Source organism: Homo sapiens, chromosome 18, assembly GCF_000001405.40.
Source record: "Homo sapiens chromosome 18, GRCh38.p14 Primary Assembly".
Lineage (NCBI taxonomy): Eukaryota > Metazoa > Chordata > Mammalia > Primates > Hominidae > Homo > Homo sapiens.
The window spans coordinates 45,969,448-45,990,410 of record NC_000018.10 but is presented as its reverse complement, the minus strand read 5'-3'; the positions used below and the strand labels follow the sequence as shown (position 1 = coordinate 45,990,410).

The window sequence follows — 20,963 nt, the reverse complement described above, 5'->3', positions numbered from 1 at the left end:
CCCACGAAATTCTTATATTGGGTTTTCTTTAAAATTAAATAGCTAGAACTTTGAAATAAAGGGAATGAAAGGATTAAATAGAATCAAATTCCCAAGAGAATGAGCCTATATTAGAATCTTACTATAATACTACTTGTCACAGAGTGGAATATGATAATTGGTGGTCTATTTTATAGCTTATCCAAGATAATTCAGTTACTGAAATACCAAAAGAAACTTATTGCAAGCAGATTTTACCTAAAAGATTATTTCAACTTGGACTGTGAGAACAGCAGAACTGAGATATAGTTCCCCTTGGATTACATAGAAATACAATTTATAGAAGGCATCGATGTCAAGAAACGTGTCACTTAATGTTATCTTTAATGAGACCTTTCACTAATCACAGTAGTCTTTTTCTTTCTTTGAACGCCTATGATATCTCTGGGAGAAGTACACATCTTAGCACTTCTTATTAGTTGTATGGGATGTGAGGGCAGTCTGGCTGCAACATTTGTCAGCCCATTGATTGCTAGGGTTGATTCGGTGCATCCGGCTGGCTAAGCGGGTGTCCCCTTCCTCCCTCACCAGTCCGTGTGCATCCCTCCCGAAGCTACGTGCTCAAAGAGGATGATCATTTCTGATAGAGGAGGGCCAGTCTTTGGTCAAGAGTATATGAGTAGCTGCATTCCCCTGCAGCTACTCCAAACAAGCTCTCATTAGTTGTATGCCTTGAATAATAAGAAGATCCCAAGGTCAGGTACAACTTTGTCTTCTGTATTACTCACAACAGCTGACACAGTTCTGAGTACATAGTAGGTGTTCAACATATATTTATTATTTGAGTAAAGAAAAGATATACCTATCCATGTTCAAGAGAATGAGTGTACTAGTCTGTTTACATGCTGCTGATAAAGACATACCCAAGACTGGGAAGAAAAAGAGGCTTAATTGGACTTACAGTTCCACATGGCTGGGGAAGCCTCAGAATCATGGCGGGAGGTGAAAGGCACTTCTTACATGGTGGTGGCAAGAGAAAATGAAGAAGATGCAAAAGCGGAAACCACTGATAAAACCATCAGATCTCGTGAGACTTATTCACTACCAGGACAACATTGTGGGGGAAACTGCCCCCATGATTCAAATTATCTCCCACTAGGTCCTTCCCACAACGGTGGAAATTATGGGAGATACAATTCAAGATGAGATTTGGGTGGGGACACAGAGCCAAAACCTATCAATAAGGGAGGAGGACAGTTTATGCTGCACTTAACAGTTCACTAAAAATTTAGTGATGGAAAAAAAACTGTAGTGGCTGAAATTATATCTTTGAACAATATGAAGATTTAAGGTATTTTATTTCTTGTTGTTTTAGAATTACCACTTGGTAATGTAGGATGCTATTTCTGTCCATTTTTAAAGATGATTTTACTGTGGGTACTGTACCTGAGCATGGATGAAAAAGGGCAAAGAAGTCAGAATAGTGATTTCCAGAATGTCCTCTGGTTTGGAGTCGTGACTACCATTTATAGTTTTTGTTGGCAGATCTATTTTCTCTTTACAAAAGGATAGACACCAGAATCTGTAAGTGAAATGCCCTGGCTTGAAAAGGGTGAGATCTTATTATGAAAAATTGATGTTACTGTTGTTTTCTGTGTTCTGCCTTTTGCAGATGATCCCAATTACTCTTTGGTTGATGACTACAGTTTGCTCTATCAGTAAAATCAATGGTAAGAACCTTTATTTTTCACATAATTGAGTCATGTGTAGACTGGTAATTGTGCTATTGAAGCCTTTGAACCTTATTTATAACACTACCACAAACTAGCAAGGCCTTGCATGAGGCAGGTACACTGGCCAGCATGCTGTCCCTTCAGGACACCTCTGTGGATCCCACAGCTGGAAGCAGACTGGAGACCCCTCCATACCTATTTGAATGAGGTTATTTTTCCTTCATTGATTATTCCACAGTAACTCTTTATCTGCTTTTTTTTTTCGAAGCAGAGTCTCGCTGTGTCACCCAGGCTGGAGTGCAGTGGTGCGATCTCAGCTCACTGCAATCTCCACATCCTGGGTTCAAGTGATCTTCCCACCTCAGCCTCTTGAGTATCTAGGATTACAGGCATGCACCACCACACCCAGCTAATATTTTTTGTATTTTCAGTAGAAACAGGGCTTCACCATGTTGGCCAGGCTGATGTTGAACTCCTGACCTGAAGTGATCTGCCCACCTCAGCCTCCCAAAGTGCTGGGATTACAGGCATGAGCCACCATGCCCAGCCCTCTTTATCTGCTCTTATTAAGCTCTTTTATAGTTATTACACACCTGGATTTAAGGCAGTGCTCATCAACAAAACACACATCATCCTCACTGTTAAAGTAATTTAGATTTTAGCTTACTCTCCCACCATCTAAAAGAGGAAAAGTCAAATAAAAAGAAGTGCAAATGATATCACACTCATTATACACACAAGGTCATCATGGAGGTCATCCTGCAGATTATTATTGCTCTGAATAAGCAAACCATGAGGATTCTTAGACGAGGACTGAACACTGCTAAGCCAACTGTAGCTGCAAAGATATACTGCATGGTGACTTTTTCTTAGGCACTCAGGTGCTTGGAACATTCTCCAAGTCAAAATCATTCTTCACAGATGTGAAGAAATGCCTCAGAAGCCAAAGTAGCGATACTAAAAAAAACTCTTCATAAAGTATCATTCTTTTACCCCAGTGGGCTTATCTTGGGGTAAAAGAATTATATAGGTACACACGAGCTAAGAAAAGGTCTGAAGAGATATATTCCTAAATAGGTAATATTTTTCCTTCCTGTTTTTGAATTTGTCTGCAATGAAAATGTGTTACTGCTTTGACTAAAAACTGTTTTAAAGGGTTGATCCACTTACATATTCCTGATCTCAGTGTGGACTGAGCTACACTTCTGAACTACACGTCTTCGCATTTCTTGTTAGTTGTATGCCCTGGATAACAGTATCAGAAGACCAAGTGGCAGGCAGTGGGTGGGTGGGATGCCAGAAGTCAACAGAGAAAGGCAACAGCCTCTCTCTCACCCTTCCTGGTTTGGTGTTGGTTACATATACTGTCATTTATCAACCTAAACAGATTTTAACAGTGCTCCAGGGTGATTTTCTATAGCGTTCTATACCACCAAAGTGAGCACATCAAACATTGTTTGTCTCCAGTCCTCTAAAAACACCTACTTTGTGACTTATAGCCAACTGGCTATCTAGGACAGATGCCAACTTGTCCTAATTACATAAAAATAATCAGCTAATGACTGGGCACAGTGGCTCACGCCTGTAATCCCAGCACTTTGGGAGGCTGAGGCAGGTGGATCACTTGAGACCAGCCTAATCAACATGGTGAAACCCCATCTCTACTAAAACAAACAAACAAAAAATACAAAAAAGTAGCCAGCCATGGTGGCAGGCACCTGTAGCCCCAGCTACTTAGGACCCTGAGGCAGGAGAATCACTCGAACCCAGGAGGTGGAGGTTGTAGTGAGCTGAGATTGCGCCACTGCACTCCAGCCTGGGCGACAGAGCAAGACTCAGTCAAAGGAAAGAATCAGCTGGTTTCTATTATATTTAAACATAAGTCCTTAAATTGCTTAATATAATTGCTTAATATATTTAATATTTAAGCAACTTTGCTATAAAATATATGGAACTTGAAGACATAAAGTACCCTGTTCTTTAACTATATATAACTTAGGACCTACAAATCTACAAATAGATGCTAGTCTTTACAATCAGTCATCATTTCTTCTTCATTTCATAAGCCTCCCTCTTTCTCATGGAAAGGGGCAAGGCCCTAGTTAGAGGCAGAGTGGAAACCTGGTAAATCAATGACTTGGAATTCAGATGTGGCACCTGCTCTCTGGAGCACTGTGTAGATGATGGGCAGGTCACTGGCAGTCCTAAGTGTTTCTTTTTATTTTTTACCTTTTTCTTTTCTGTTCTTACTTGTTTGGGTAAAGAATATATTCTAGTAGCTTAATAGTACCACTTGACCCAACAACTGTAGTTCCTCAGAGTCTAAGAGTGTGATGTTTGAATGCAAGATGCTAGTGCCAACACATGTACTTGAGTTATATCATTTCACTGGAGTTCACTGGAATCTGTGCCAGTTCAATGAGTTGGGGTTCAACATATACATCAATTTCAGAAAATTTTACTAAAGGGAGTATACAACACATTCATATTCAGTATACAACATATACTGAATTTCAGAAAATTTTAAAGAAGGAAGTCTAATTTAGTGAATAACTTACTAAGCAACTTATCACAACAATTAAAATAGTTTGAATGAACTTTTGGAAAATAAATTTAAACAGGGTCCCGGTACGGTGGCTCATGCCTGTAATTCTAGCACTTTGGGAGGCCAAGGCGGGCGGATCACCTGAGGTCAGGAGTTTGAGACCAGCCTGGCCAACATGGTGAAACCCTATCTCTACTAAAAATACAAAAACTAGCCAGGCACAGTGGCGGGTGCCTGTAATCCCAGCTACTTGGGAGGCTGAGGCAGGAGAATCACTTGAACTTGGGAGGCGGGGGTTGCAGTGAGCTGAGATTGCGCCACTGCACTCCAGCCTGGGTAACACAGCAAGACTCTGTCTCAAAAAAAAAAAAAATTTAAACAAGAAGAGTTAGGAATTTGTGATTTGTTTTGTAGTTGTTGATTTTAGCTGCTATTCCTGTTGTTAATTCTAACATGTTTAGGTAAAGATAGATTAAAAATTTCAAATTTGAAATATGTATAAAAATGTAAATGTATGTATTATTTACCATAAAGCAATGCTGTTATCGTCACATTCCATTTCTCATTGCTTGGAATACCCATTCCTCACCATTTGTTTTCCTTGGCCTGCACCCTTATTCTTGTTGAATATACTCTCAAGGTAGGAGAGAGTATTGACAAGCACCTTTCATTCAGAGGAAATTTCTTTGTTATTTTCTTTCAGAAACCAGAGCTTTTTCCGGCTAGTGCTTCTGTGATATGGAAAGGGCACCCAGAGCAGCAGGACCTATAGCCACGTTATGTCAGCAATGAAGACTTTGAAGTGAACCCTTGCTATAATTTTTTAGAGATTTAAAATTTATGGTAGACATTTAGGACAACATAAGCAAGTAGAGTTCTGCAGTTTTTTGAAGTTTACAAATTGCCCCATTCTGAAGAATTATTCTTTCCCAGTTACTCAGGTTATGAATGAATTAGGTTTTCAACATGGGAAGCATGAAATCCACTTCTGGATTTGGAGCATCCACTTGAGGAGCAGAGGTGGCAGCAGAGGATTCTGAGCCACCAACTGCAGTAGTGGCTCCTTTGGCTTTGGGCAGCCTGGCTGTGGAGTTTCCACGGCGACACACAGCCTCAGTGGTGCAAGATTTAAAATTACCTTCCTTTTTGGCTGGAAGACTTAGAAGCCGCCTGATCATACTTTCTCATTTTACAGATGAGGAAATAAAGCCTACAAGTGTGAAATTAATTTCCTTACAGTTTTCCTAGCTGATGAGGGACAGAACCAGAACTAGAGCCTGAGCCCAACCCACATCACTATTCTTCTAACCCTTCCTGAAGTTGTGATGCTCATGCTGAAATTTAAGATGCCAAATATTTTTGCCAGCACTTTTTCAGTTGGGAGAATCACCAGGGTTTAAATGTCAGATTTATTTTTATGTGGATCCCTGTGTATGCTGAACTACAGAGCATGATGTTTAATCTAATTTAAGGAGCCACTGATTGTAAAACATGCCATTATTTTATGTTGCACTAAGAAGGTGGGGTCGAGGAGTTGCCAATAAACTTGGGACAGACTATTGATGGCCAAGCCCATCTGAATTTAAGATGCTAAAGTATGAAAAAAATACATCTTAGAATCAATGAAATACCATATTTTGATTCCATTCCTCAAGATAATTTTAGAGTTATAAAACCAGTCCTCAATTTTGGGTCTTCACAGAGAATCTTTCCCTTGCTAGACCCCAGAATTTTAAATGCATCCGTCTTACACTTTCACAAATATTTGGGTTTTCCTTTTTCACTCACAAACAGCAGGGAGGTCATGTACTTTTTGTACAACACCTGTGCACTATGAGAAAATGGTACCTTTTAGTTATTGACAAGTTAAAATAGCACTCTCAGTTTTTCAGTATTACAGAGAGCAAATAGTTTCCTCTCCTGCTCTGTGCAGTAGCTTTTCCAGAACTATGGACAAATTGATCAGAAGAAGATTGATTATTTCCTCATCTTTTTTTCTTTTTTTTGAGACAGAGTCTCTCTCTGTCCCCCAGGCTGAAGTGCAGCGGCATGATCTCAGCTCACTGCAACCTCTGCCTCCCGGGTTCAAGTGATTCTCCTGCCTCAGCCTCCTGAGTAGCTGGGATTACAGGCACCCACCACCACACCTGGCTAATTTTTTGTATTTTTAGTAAAGACAGGGTTTTACCATGTTGGTCAGGCTGGTCTCAAACTCCTGACCTCAGGTGATCCACCTGCCTCGGCCTCCCAAAGTGCTGGGATTACAGGCGTGAGCCACTGCGCCCGGCCTATTTCCCCACCTTTCGTGTAAGGTGCTACTGAACATGACAGCTTCTTGTCATGACAGGAAACTTGCATCAGTTGGATATCCTTTTGAGAAACTGAATTTTGCAAAGGGCCAAATTTCCCCAAACTGAACGGGCTCAGGAAATGTTCCTTTACACTCAGAACATTCTATTTTAAGTATATTATTTATTGTTGGCAGTTCCTCAGGGATTTCCCTTTTCTCTGTATTGGTCAGTGTAGTTGATGTAAAACCGTTTTGTGGATGGAAAATATTTTTATTTTATTGCTCTTTTAGTTTGGTAGGTTAAATAAAGGTTCTTGGTAATTTGGGATTTGTTTCGTATTTTTGTGTTGACCATATCGCTCTTCCAAGCTTTATTTGATCCCTTGCCACATTTGTGATTGTTAGGCTTCAAAAAGACAAACCGCTGGTCAGGGAAGCCAAATGGAGATGGTGCCGAACTACTTTGTACTAATCCTTCAGAGGTCAATTGCAGTGTTACTTCCTCTGCGAGACACCATCTCTGCCTTCAGACTAGGTTGGATCCAACTACTGTATCTCTCCTCCCCCTCCATTTTCCTTGTTATGATATGATTCACCCTTGAAATTAATTGTTCAAAGCCTGTCTTCCTTTTTAGACTGGAACCCCAATGGTAGCAGGGCCATTGTCTATTCTTTTTCCTGCTGTATCTCCAGCACCTGGCACATAGTAGAGACTATGAAAGAATTAGTGGCCCATAAGAAAACATAGCTAGAGAAACAACCACTTGAAAGAGAAATAAGGAGTGCAAAGTGAGTGAAGCCAAACGAGTACATGTGTTAAATTTAGTAAATGTGAGCTATTCTACAGACTGTTGGTATATTAATTTGGGTTCCATCAGAAGCAGACCCCGAGATAAGGATTTGTGTACAAGTACTTTTTCCAGAAAGTGCCAGTATGGAAGTGGGGAAGCCAGATAGGGAAAGGAAGAAAGGCAAAAACAGTGTGCATTATCAAGTAAGCTACATGGCAGGCAGCTGGAGCTTACTCTTGTTGAAGACTCCCAGGAAACAGTGCAGAACACACAACTGGGGCTGGGTGCGGTGTAATCCCAGCACTTTGGGAGGCCGAGGCAGGTGGATCACCTGAGGTCAGGAGTTCGAGACAAGCTTGGCCAACATGGTGAAATCCTGTCTCTATTAAAAATTAAAAAATTAGCTGGGCATGGTGCGCGTGCCTGTAATCCCAGCTACTCAGGAGGCTGAGGCAGAAGAATTGCTTGAACCCGGGAGGTGGAGGTTGCAGTAAGCCAAGATCGCGCGCCACTGCACTCCAGCATGGGCAACAGAGTGAGACTCTGTCTCAAGAAAAAAAAAAAAAAAAAAAGAACACACACACACTTAGGAGATATTGCACCTAAGCCACAAGGGAGCTGGAGTATTTATTCACCAACTCCTGTCAGTCACTGGTTGCAGAATGCTCCTAGGAGGCATTAATTTCCCAGCACTTCTGGGCTGCCTCCAACGCTGGAGAGTGGGAACAGTCTGAGAGGGTCCTTAGGCAGGAACACAGTTCCTGACAGTTGGAACTGTGTGTTTAAGGAATTGAGAGGTACTGAAGGGATGTGGATGGGGCATTGACAGCATCTGACCCCACATGGTTCAGATGCATCCATACCCCACTTTTTACTCCATCCTATCACTACTTCTTCAAGTCCCAACTTCCAAAAACAGACACACACACATACAAAGGAAACAGTTAGCAGGACCAGCTATATTTCCTGTTCTTACAGATAATCTTAAATCCATAATTGATATTCATCATCTCCTTCCTCCCCCTACTATTATGGATGAATCATGCACCCCACCCTCACACACAATTCATATGTTGAAGTCCCAGCTGCCAGCCAGTACTTCAGAATGTGGCCATGTTTGGAGACAGAGCCTTTAAAGAGGTGATTAAATTGAAGGGAGGCCGTTGAGGTGGGGCCCTAATCCTAGTGACTGGTGTTCTCCTAAGAAGAGGAAGAGGCCAGATGCGGTGGCTCATGCCTGTAATCTCAGCACTTTGGGACGCCAAGGCTGGCAGAGCACTTGAGGTCAGGAGTTTGAGACCAGCCTGGCCAACATGGTGAAACCCCAACTCTACTAAAATACAAAAATTAGCCGGGCGTGGTGGCAGGGACCTGTAATCCCAGCTACTCAGGAGGCCGAGGCAGGTGAATCACTTGAACCCCGGAAGCAGAGGTTGCAGTGAGCCAAGTTCGCGCCACTGTACTCCAGCCTAGGTGACAGAGGGAGACTCTGTCTCAAACAAACAAACAAACAAACAAAAAAAAAAAAAAAAGAAGAGGAAGAGACAGCAGGAGTACATGTTTACAGAGGAATGAGCACGTGAAGAGGCAGCAAGAGAGTGGCCATGTGCCAGTGGCAAGCCCAGGAAAGAGGCCTCAGAGGAAACCAACTCTGCACCTTGTTCTTGGACTTCCAGCCTCTGGAACAGAAAGAAAATAAATTTTGGTTGTTTAAACCACCCAATCTGTGGTATTTTTTTATGGCAGCCCTAGTGAACTAATGCACAGACATTCTAGAATCCTCTTAAACTTGGCTAGTTCATCTGCTTGTCTAGGTTGCTTGACTGGTGGGATAATCTGCATCTTCCTCCCTGGGGTGGTGGTCTTAGCCCTGGTTATCAGGCTTTTGTCCCCTGTTTGCTGAAATTGCCAGTTTATATTAATTACCAGGCATGGGAACACAAGGAAGCACCCCAGGGAAACTCCTGCCTTCCAGATATATTCATCGTTGCCCCCTTTTTCTCATGATAATCACTAACTCCTGTTGGGATTGGTATGCCTCTCTTTGCCTGCTGGTCTATTGGTATGAGGAACCCCAATAGCCCAGGCATTGGCCATAGTTTTATGGAACCCTTTCTATATCCCCTGGTATAGATATCCCCTGCCAACCTCCTAGAGTCAGGAGTTTTTGTCTGGCAGAGCCTAAAGTCGAAGGGATGGGAAGCACAAATTCCCGGTGGGTCAGTGTGAGCCATAGTGACAGACGCCACTCTTACCTCTTGGTTTCTGTGAGAGACAAACTCACCCATCCAAACCCAAAGAATGGACTCAGAGACATGCAGAACATCAAAAGTGAGACTTTTAATGATGGTCTTGCAAGATCAGGTGTCTGATAGGCAGGCACACCCAGCACAGTTTCAACAAGCAATTTATCCCCTAGTGCACAGGTCCCTCCCCGGTTCCTCAAAGGCTGAGTATTACAGGGTCACAATCTTCCTGGACATTGCCAATTGATTGTTGGGTAAAGGCTTTAGGTATTTTTTTAGGGTTGTCTTGCTGCATCTTGTTGCAGCCCAGAATGCATTGCAATCCTAGCTCAGGCGCTGTTCAAGTATTTGACTTATGACCTAAATAGCTGGGCAGGCTGATAAGAACAGACAAAAGGAACTATTCTGCAGGCTAGTAAACTTTCATCTTAGACTAAACTCCTTTGGTTCAGGTGAGGGCAACTAAGTTGTGGGGAAGGTGGAGGCCAACAAGCAGGCGTTGGCTATCCAAGCAGAGGCCTCATATATCCTGTTTCTTTTGTAGTTTGCTGATCTAAGCCAATTCAAGGCACTTTGTGTTGGAAATGGACCACTGTATACATAATTTTCTTCAGTTCCCAGACTGTGTTTTCTACCTATTGGAGTCATAACATGCAGTACCAGATTGTGGCCATTTAAACACCAATACCTCATCATCAAGGCCAGCATCCCAGCCTTGCAAGGTATTATTCTCAAGCTGCTGCACCTTTAAGAGGACATTCCAGTAATCTATCAGGACAGCATCTTCTAGGTGATGCGGTACACAGTAGACAAAGGGGAGCCGATGGGCATTTGTCTGTTGTTGTACCACCTTTGCCGTAAAGCAAATATCTCTTAGTGTAAGATGTGCGTTCTCAGCCGGATGTGGTGGCTCATGCCTGTAATCCCAGCACTTTGGGAGGCGGAGGCAGGTGGATCACGAGGTCAGGAGTTTGAGACCAGTCTGACCAACATGGTGAAACTCCATCTCTACTAAAAATACAAAAATTAGCTGGGCGTAGTGGCATGTGCCTGTAATCCCAGCTACTCAGGAGGCTGAGGCAGGAGAATCGCTTGAACCCAGGAGGCAGAGGTTGCAGTGAGCCGAGATCACGCCACTGCACTCCAGCCTGGGCAACAGAGCAAGACTCCGTCTAAAAAAAAAGCAAAAAAAAGATTTGTATTCTCAGTGGGGGCAGTATTGCCACCAAGGGGGTGAAAATTGGTTATTGATAGACAAAACAAAACTTACTATTTTTATGTATAAAGCATGGATAAACATATACTGCATAAAAAGAAATACAGCTGGGCACGGTGGCTCATGCTTATAATCCCAGCACTTTGGGAGGCCAAGGTGGGCAGATCACAAGGTCAAGGGTTCGAGTCCAGCCTGGCCAACATGGTGAAACCCCGTCTCTATTAAAATACAAAAAATTAGCTGGGCATAGTGGCAGGTGACTGTAATCCCAGCTACTTGGGAGGCTGAGGCAGGAGAATCGCTTGAACCCAGGAGGTGGAGGTTGCAGTGAGCCGAGATTGTGCCTCTGCACTGTAGCCCTGGCAACAGAGTAAGAGTCTGTCTCCAGAAGAAGAAGAAGAAGAAGAAGGAGAAGGGAGAGGGAGAGGGAGAGGGAGAGGGAGAAGAAGAAGAAGAGAGGAGGAGGAGGAGGAGGAATAATACAGTATATCTGTGGTATTAAAATTTCATGGGAGTTTTTGAATTCAGAAGGCATGTTAAAAAAAAAAGAAAGAAATAAAAAAAGAAAAGTTTCATAGGCTGACAGGAAAAAAAAGTCTAAAAAGGATATTAAGGGAGTGATAATGAAAAAAAAATTGAAGGCCGGGTGAGGTGGCTCGTGCCTGTAATCCCAGCAGTTTGGGAGGCCAAGGCAGGCAGATCCACTTGAGATCAGGAGTTCAAGACCAGCCTGGCCAAAACATGGTGAAACCCCGTCTCTACTAAAAATACAAAAATTAGCCATGCCCAGTGGCATGTGCCTGTAATCCCAACTACTCGGGGAGGCAGGAGAATCACTTGAACCTGAGAGACAGAGGTTGTAGTGAGATGTGATCGTACCACTGCGCCCCAGCCTGGGAGACAGCGCAAGACTCCGTTTAAAAAAAAAAAGAAAAAAAGAAAAAAAATTGAGAAACACTGGTTTAAGATGATGTTATGTGGAAACCATAATGTTACATTACACACTGTATAAGCTCCTGGATTGTGGTGCTGGCTGAGGCAAGGCTAGCAGGAAAGGCAAATCCATTCTTGAACTCAATCCCAGTAGACAGAAATGCTTCCAGGGTAGAATGGGTTTGATGGGATCAATTTGCCACCAAGTGGATGGTTGGTTTCCTTGAGGACTGGTAACATATTTAGAGCTCAGCCTCAGTCTCTAGGCTAATGGATCAGGTATTCAGTGGTAGTTGCTACATCGGGGTTGGTGAGCAGGGAAGTCCCCTTAGCTGCATTCCTGCCACCATGGCTACTCTGTTAATGGGCCCATTGAGGAAGCACCAGAGTGGCCAAGGACAGAGGCTTGCTTACTGCACTGGATGAGTCATCCCTGCCACCTGGTTGCTCTGCACCTGCTTTGTGATGGATATTCTCTCATAGGCCTTGGTATGAGACACAAAGAGTTGCACATTTTGTTGCCTAATTCCAGAGGCCACTTGCCTGCTTCTTCTCTAGGCCTCTTTGTCTTCAGTCTTCTATTTATTTTTATTTTATTTGTTTTAGATTCAGAGTGTCCCTGTGTCGCTCAGGCTGGAGTGCAGTGGTGTGGTCTCGGCTCACTGCAGCCTCTGTCTCCTGGGTTCAAGCGATTCTCCTGCCTCAGCTTCCTGAGCAGCTGGGATTACAGGTGCCCACCACCATGCCTGGCTAATTTTTGTATTTTTAGTAGAGACAGGGTTTTACCATGTTGGCCAGGGTGGTCTCGAGCTCCTGACCTATCTTCCTGCCTCAGCCTCCCAAAGTGCTGGGATTACAGGCGTGAGCCACCATGCCCAGCCTGTCTTCAGTCTTCTATTTCCTCCCTTGCCAATCAGTCAGGTCACGTGCCACAGCCCAGGAATCTATGTATATTATTTACTGTGGGCTATGTCTCCCTTCACAGCAAGCTGATGAGCAGCTGGACTGCTTGACTCCTGTGCTTTGAGCGTATTCCTCTTCGCTGCTGTTTTCCACAGTCCCTCCTGAGTGGACTGTCATGTGGCAGCAGTCCACACGGGTACAGAGCAACAATTAACATATAGAGCTGACCTATTCTTGACCAGGCCTGAGTTTTTCTCCATCAACTGGGTTGAAGAATGCCTTCTCTGAGGCCATAGGTATGAGGTGAGGGAGAGGCACAGATACAACAGAGAAGGGTAATTGATGAGTCTGCATCACCTTTTGGGGCAACATACTTGTGCTCCCTGGATTTGCTTAGGCCTGATCCAGAATGTACCGTTTCTACGCAGTGCAGTCATATGCACCTGCAGTCCCAGCTACTTGTGAGGCTGAGGTGGGAGGATCCCTTGAGCCCAGGAGTTTGAGACCAGCCTGGGCAACATAGTGAGATGCCGTCTCTATAAACAACAACAACAAAGAAACCAGAATGTACCATTTCCACTGCAGGAAGGATTACTGATGTGCCCTCCTGACCCGTGACTCAGGGGATCTGAAGAAAGATAAAGTAATTTGGAAGTAACATCATTTCTTTTTATATTCACGTTATCTTTATAATTTTGCAAAATGCATCTCTTTAAATGATGCCATAAGGGCTTTCTGGCTTTCCCACTATTCCCTAAGTGACCCAAGCTTGTGATTTTCTGCAGTGTGTCAACAGCAGTTGATAAAAACCAACCTACTTGATAGTCCTTAGAATTACCTTTGCCCCATATCTTTCAAGTGTTAGTAATGTTGCATGAGCTCTTCCACCTGTTTCACCCAAATTCACCACGAGTGAGGCCTCAGTAACTGTGATTCTGCAGCATAGTTTTTTTTTTTTTTTTTTTTTTGGTCTGCCTGTGCCTCTTTAATCATGACATCACATCAAGACTGAACCACAAGGGTTTGGCATTCTAATGGCTTGCATTACATATGAACATAATTGAAATGCAATGTGGTAATAGAGGCATTTACAAAGACCTGTGAGGTTCAAGGGAGAAATAATTATTTCTCATGAATGGGTGAAAGAGAATGAAGCATTTCAATATTGGTAACTGGTATCACAGGGGTTTGTTGTACAGATTATTTCATCACCCAGGTACTAAGCTTAGTATCCAATAGTTATTTTTTGAGACAGAGTCTTGTTCTGTTGCCTAGGCTGGGGTGCAGTGGCATGATCTCGGTTCACCGAACCTCCACCTCACAGGCTCAAGTGATCCTCCCACCTCAGCATCCTGAGTAGCTGGGACTATAGGCATGTGCCACTACTCCTGGCTAATTTTTGTGTTTTTTTAGAGACGGGGTTTCGTCATGTTGCCCAGGCTGGTCTTGGACTTCTGGGCTTAAACAATCCTCCAGCCCTCAACCTCCCAAAGTGCTGGGATTACAGGTGTGAGCCACCGCGCATGGCCCCAATAGTTATCTTTTCTGATCCTCTCCCTTCTTCCACCCTCCACCCTCAAACAGATCCCAGTGTCTGTTCTCCTCTTTGTGTCCATGTATTCTCATCACTAAGCTCCCACTTATAAGGGAGAACATGTGGTATTTGGATTTCTGTTCCTGCATTAGTTTGCTAAAGATAATGGCCTCCAGCTCCATCCATGTTCCCAGAAGGGACATGATCTCGTTCTTTTTTATGGTGCAGCACAGATGTTATCACCATTTCATTTCACCCTGACTGAGACCGCCTTTGCAAAAATATTAACTGAGAAGATTATGACAGTGAAAGATATCAGACCTAACTGACCCTATCTTGCTTCTAACCTCTAAACTGTCCTTGTTCATTCCTGGGCATAGGCCAAACTAGCTTTGGGAAGGAATTTAGTGATAGTTTATATAACAGCCCTTCCCAAAAGGCTAAATTGTTCTCATAAAACAAATAAAAGGGCACTAGCCACCAAGTCAAGATGAGAGGGGCTAGAATTCTTTTTGGCGTGATCTGAGCTCACTGCAACCTCCACCTCTGGGGTTCAAGCGATTCTCCTGCCTTAGCCTCCCGAGTAGCTGGGATTACAGGCACCTGCCACCATGCCCGGCTAATTTTTGTATTTTTAGTAGAGATGGGGTTTCACCATATTGGCCAGGCTGGTCTCGAACTCCTGACCTCAGGTGATCCACCTGCCTCAGCCTCCCAAAGTGCTGAGATTACAGGCGTGAGCCACCGCGCCCAGCCCTGGCTTATATTTTTGTTGTCTGTCTTTTAGTATAGTTTTGTTTTAGGTTGAAGGGACAGCTATTGCCAGAAATTTCCATTTAAGTGCCAAATACATTTAAATTTCATGGCCTTAAATATCTGGTTCTCATCTGTAATCCCAACACTTTGGGAGGCTAAGGCGGGTGGATCACCTGAGGTCAGGAGTTCAAGACCAGCCGACCAACGTGATGAAACCCTGTCTCTATTAAAAATACAAAATTAGGGCTGGGCGCGGTAGCTCACGCCTGTAATCCCAGCACTTTGGGAGGCCGAGGCGGGTGGATCATGAGGTCAGGAGATAAAGACCATCCTGGCTAACGCAGTGAAACCCCGTCTCCATTAAAAAAAAAAAAAAAAAATTAGCCGGGTGTGGTAGCAGGTGCCTGTAGTCCCAGCTACTCAGAAGGCTGAGGCAGGAGAATGGCGTGAACCCGGGAGGCGGAGCTTGCAGTGAGCCGAGATGGCACCACTGCACTCCAGCCTGGGTGACAGAGCGAGACTCCCCCTCAAAAAAAAAAAAAAAAAAAAAAAAAAAAAAAAAAAAATTAGCCGGGCGTGGTGGCACATGCCTGTAATCCCAGCTACTTAGGAGGCTGAGACAGGAGAATCGCTTGAACCCGGGAAGCGGGGAGGTTGCAGTGAGCCGAGATCGTGCCATTGCACGAGATTGCCTGGCCAACAAGAGTGAAAATCCATCTCAAAAATAAAATAAAGTAAAATAAAATAAAATAAAATAAAATTTTGGAGGAGTCAAAATTTATATGCAGATTTCAACTGTGTGGAGGATTAGTGACCCTAACTCCTGCAGTGTTGAAGGGTCAACTGTACTTGTATGACTCATTTAATGTTTGGAGATTATAAGAGGAAAAAAAGGACAAAGTTTATATGCTTTGCTGCCTATGGAAGCAAAAGTCTGTTAATGGAAAAGAGCCCACCTATGGAAGACAGTTTGTTAGAAAAACATAGGTTGTACATTTTTGGTACGTACTTGCTCTGGGAGCTAATTGTCTCAAGAAACTGAAATAATGTAGAAGCAACCTGATTCTTTCGCAATTTTAAAAAATGCATTTAGTAATGAAGAATGATGAAATAACGCCTTGTGCTGTTATGATGTACAGAAAGTAACTATCTGTATCATGAATGACTTCTCGGAAATCATATGTAAGAGGTTTCACCAAGCAGGCATTGCCACCAGATGGCAACAGAGACTCTGGAATGGAATTTTGGAAGGAGATTTAAGAAAGGTCAACCCAGCGTACCTTCTAGAGTTCAGCAGCTTTCACTGAACCTTGCTTTTACTCTTTTCCAGATGCTGGCTGACTTATGCATCATAGTCATATTATGTTATGGAATGCCATAACATAATATATGAGTTACAGTCTTTTTATGAATGCTGGTTTTTTTTTTTTTTTTTTGAGATGAACAGTTTCACTCTTGTCACCCAGGCTGGAGTGCAATGGCTCGATCTCGGGTCACCACAACCTCTGCCTCCCGGGTTCAAGTGATTCTCCTGCCTCAGCCTCCCGAGTAGCTGGGATTACAGGCATGTGCCATCATGTCTGCCTAATTTTGTATTTTTAGTAGGGATAGGGTTTCTCCATGTTGGTCACGCTGGTCTCGAACTCCTGACCTCAGGTGATCCACCAGCCTCAACCTCCCAAAGTGCTGGGATTACAGGGGTGACCCACCACCCCTGGCCGCCTTGTTCTTGTTTTTAATTGACCAGGATTTTAATCATGAGATTAAAAAGTATTTTAAATTCTTAAAGCCGCAGTGAAAATTAATACAGCCTATTAGGAGGAAATCTGGTAAATATTTATCAAAATTAAAAATGAGAATGCCTCTATGATCAAAATTGTACATCTAGGAATTGATTTTACAGAAATAAACATGCATAAAAATATATGAGTGGTCATGTATAAGCACTGATTTTTTTTGTGTGGGTGTGTTTTTTTTTTTTGAGATGGAGTCTCTGTCGCACAGGCTGGAATGCAGTGGCGTGATCTTGGCTCACTGCAACCTCCACCTCCTGGGTTCAAGCAATTCTTCCGTCACAGCCTCCCGAGTAGCTGGGACTACAGGTGCGTACCACCACGCCCGGCTATATTTTTGTATTTTTAGTAGAGACGGGGTTTCACCGTGTTAGTCAGGATGGTCTCCATCTCCTGACCTCATGATCCACCGTCCTTGGCCTCCCAAAGTGCTAGGATTACAGGCATGAGCCACTGCGCCCACCAGCACTGGTTTTAATAGTGAAACATTGAAAACAACACAATGGCCATCAAAAGTCTGTTTAAATAAGTTTTAAATAAGTTTAAATAAGTTTATGAAATATTTTATTAATTGAAGGAAAAATGAGGTAGAGGTATCTGTTTTTACAAGGAAATAGCGCTAGGATTCATTAATTAAAAGGTCGCAATCTACACATAGGCATGGAGTATTTAAGAGTGTGATTTTGTATGTGAGTAGAGCAAAGTCTTTAAGGATGTATACTGAACTGTTAATGTTAACTCTGGGGAAAGGAGTATTAACTTACTATCATAGGTACTTCTATATTGTTTGCAGTTGCATTTAGAAATATAATTTAATACAAAAATTAGCTGGGTGTGGTGGTGCATGCTTGTAGTCCCAGCTACTCAGGAGGCTGAGGCAGGAGAATCGCTTGAACCTGGGAAGGGGGAGTTGCAGTGAGCCAAGATCAAGATCATGCCATTGCACTCCAGCCTGGGCATTGCAGTGAGACTCTGTCTCAAAAATAAAATAAAATAAAAACAACAACAACAACAACCAAAAGAAATATTATAATTTAAAACTATTATAGAAATTTTTGAAGAAAAAAATATAACCTTGACATCCAGCAGTCAACACTGTGACTATTATGATTAATACAGTATCTTTTAAATGAAATATTTCTGATAGTCATCTTGGCCCCAGTGTATAAGTATTAAATATTGCAAACATGGAGACAGTAAACCTGGCTTCCTCTTCAAAGTCTGTTTATATTGTATAACTGCCTTCGTTCAAATCCCAGCTCCACCACTTACATAAGCTGTGTGACCTTAGGCAAATAATTCAATCTCTCTGAGTCTTAATTCTCTTTTTATAAAATGAAAGCAATGAAATCCTCAACATCGCGGGGTTGTTGGAAGAATCAAATGAGTTAACACATGAAAAGTACTCAGAACAGGGCCCAGCAGAGAGTAAGAGCTCAGGAAATGTTGGTGATAATTATTACAGCCCAGAGTAGCAAACCCTTCTCTGATTATTATGCCAGTGATGAACACTGCTTGCTGTCAAGATGAATTTCTTAGAATCTCTGCAAATAGTACTTATGCATAGAGAAGACATTTGTTGTTATTTTGCTAGCTGAAATTAGTATTTTAAATTATTTAAAAATTAATCTTAATTTATTAAACCCATACACATTCTAAAATTTAGTTTTTGTTAAGTCTTTTTTTTTTTTTGAGACAGAGTCTCACAGGCTGGAGTGCAGTGGCGCAATCTCGGCTCACTGCAACCTCCGCCTCCCGGATTCAAGCGATTCTCCTGCCTCAGCGTCCTGAGTAGCTGGGATTACAGGTGCACGCCACCACACTGGGCTAATTTTTGTATTTTTAGTAGAGACGGGATTTTACCATGTTGGCCAGGATGGTCTCCATCTCCTGACCTCGTGATACACCTACCTCGACCTCCCAAAGTGTTGAGATTATGGGCGTAAGCCCCCATGCTCGACCTTTTTTTTTTTTTTTTTTTTTTGAGACAGGGTCTTGCTCTGTTGCCCAGGCTGGAGTGCAGTGGTGCAATCTCAGCTCACTGCAACCTCCGCTTCCCAGGTTCAAGTGGTTCTTGTGTCCCAGCCTCCTGAGTAGCTGGGATTACAGGCAGGTACTTGTAATTACAAGTAGTACGGGATTACATGCCCGGCTAATTTCTGTATTTTTAGTAGGGACAGGGTTTTACCATGTTGGGCAGACTGGTCTCGAACTCCTGTCCTCAGGTGAGCCACCCACGTCGGCCTCCCAAAGTGCTGGGATTATAGGCGTGAGCCACCATGCCCGGCCCAGTTTTTGTTAAGTCTTCAAGTTATCTTTATACATACCTCAACATTATTTTTATAAATCTAATAGAGTTTCATAGTCATGTTCAAGGGGGAACCTTAACAATTCATCCACTCACATTCAACAGACCAAAGTCCCTTAAACAATTGGTCCCATCATCACTTAAATTCCTTCAAATGTTTTATACTACAGTATTAAATTCAAAATATTAATTTTTTTAATGTTGCCTGAACTGACCAACCAACCATTCTAACTACTTAAACCATCCTACTAAGGTCTAACAAATTTTTTTTTTTTTTTTTTTTTTTGAGACGGAGTCTCACTCTGTTGCCAGGCTGGAGTGCAGTGGCATGATCTCGGCTCACTGCAGCCTCCGCCTCCTAGATTCAAGCGATTCTCCCGCCTCAGCCTCCCGGGTAGCTGTGACTACAGGTGTGCACCCAGCCAATTTTTGTATTTTTAGTAGAGACGGGGTTTCACCATGTTGGCCAGGATGGTCTCGATCTCTTGACCTCGTGATCTGCCCGCCTTGGCTTCCCAAAGTGTTGGGATTACAGGCATGAGCCACTGCACCCAGCCACAAATTCAGTTTATAAATATGATAGATCTTAATTTCTCAGAGATATTCCATGATTATGTAAGCCGTATAAAATTATCTTATTTTTAACTAAAATATATGTAATCTAAAATCAGGTAGTAAAATACATATTTTAATTTGGAATCATAAGGTCTATATCCTTTAATTTGCCAAATTATCGTAACCAGTACAAGCACTTTAAATACAAAAAGATACAGTTTATTCCTAATTTAACACAAAAGGATTATGCTGTCAGCTTAAATTACTTTATCTGCTTTGTATTTGACTTTCCTGAGATGATACTTTACTTCCAGGAATTGGTTTACTTTTTTTTTTTTTTTGAGATGGAGTCTCGCTCTGTTGCCCAGGCTGGAGTGCAGTGGCGCCATCTTGGTTCACTGCAACCTCCGCCTCCTGGGTTCAAGCGATTCTCCTGCCTCAGCCTCCCAAGTAGCTGGAATTCCAGGTGTATGCCATGACGCTACGCTAATTTTGGTATTTTTTTAAGTAGAGATGGGGTTTCACCATGTTGGCCAGGCTGGTCTCCTGACCTCAAGTGATCTGCGCTGCTCTGCCTCCCAAAGTGCTGGGATAACAGGTGTGAACCACCACTGCCGGCCTGTTTACTTTTTCAAGCTACTGTCTCACAGGTTGGGTTTAGCAGCCCTGGGAACTCAGGTTGCTTATCAGTCAGTTGTCTGGCTGGGACATGAAATCCTTGACTGCATATGTTCGGGAACTTTTCTGAGCCCCTGCTCCCATTGTCCCTTTTAAAATTGTTGCTGTGGCAACAGAGACTTCAAGTCTATATCCTTCAAAAGGAGTAGTTTCAAAACCACCTTCTCGGTTCAAATTATATCATTACCTAACTGATTGTTGCTTTACCTTTTGTTTGGATTCTACTGAACTTGAATTGTCTGGCTGTTGGCCTCACTTTCTGAAATTAATCCAACGACAGATAACTTCGTGATGGAAAATGTAGGTCTCCTTAGTAGTTAGCCCTCTGCCAGGTGACTTCGTTTCCACCTCCCCTTATATATTGTTCTTCCTTCCTCTCTAAATTCTCTAAATCTCTGCTTATACAGAGCAATCTGGCTCTCTCTGGCCTCTCCAGTCATCATACATCATACTCACATTCACCATCTTGAGAAGTGCAGTAAGCCACATAAATGCAGCAGAAGTACCTTATGCAGTCCTAGGAGGCTGTGGTTTTGAGTTGCTTTTTTTTTTTTTTTGGAGACGGAGCCTTGCTCTGTCACCCAGGCTGGAGTGCAGTGGCACGATCTTGGCTCACTGCAGCCTCCACCTCCTGGGTTCAAGCAATTCTCCTGCCTTGGCCTCCCAAGTAGCTGGGACAAGTAGCTGGGACTACAGGCGCACG

At 42.9% G+C, this 20,963-nt stretch overlaps 1 protein-coding gene and 1 pseudogene across 1 annotated transcript in view, besides 1 other annotated feature; both read left to right on the top strand.

The window, feature by feature from the left end:
- The window catches only part of PSTPIP2 (proline-serine-threonine phosphatase interacting protein 2), an 88,725-nt gene extending 81,850 nt beyond the window's left edge, over positions 1-6,875 (top strand). The window contains exons 14-15 of the mRNA NM_024430.4: positions 1,652-1,709; positions 4,961-6,875. Coding sequence (NP_077748.3) covers positions 1,652-1,701 — 50 coding nt within the window. The 3' untranslated portion in view covers positions 1,702-1,709; positions 4,961-6,875. The remainder of the gene's footprint in view (positions 1-1,651; positions 1,710-4,960) is intronic.
- On the top strand, positions 466-758 carry RN7SKP26 (RN7SK pseudogene 26; annotated as a pseudogene).
- Positions 12,505-13,076: an enhancer, noted in NCBI's record as "H3K27ac hESC enhancer chr18:43557301-43557872 (GRCh37/hg19 assembly coordinates)". NCBI's record gives its function as "activates a minimal SCP1, AML or CMV promoter by ChIP-STARR-seq in primed H9 embryonic stem cells {active_cell/tissue: H9 hESC(primed)}" and the evidence as "EXISTENCE:reporter gene assay evidence [ECO:0000049][PMID:30033119]".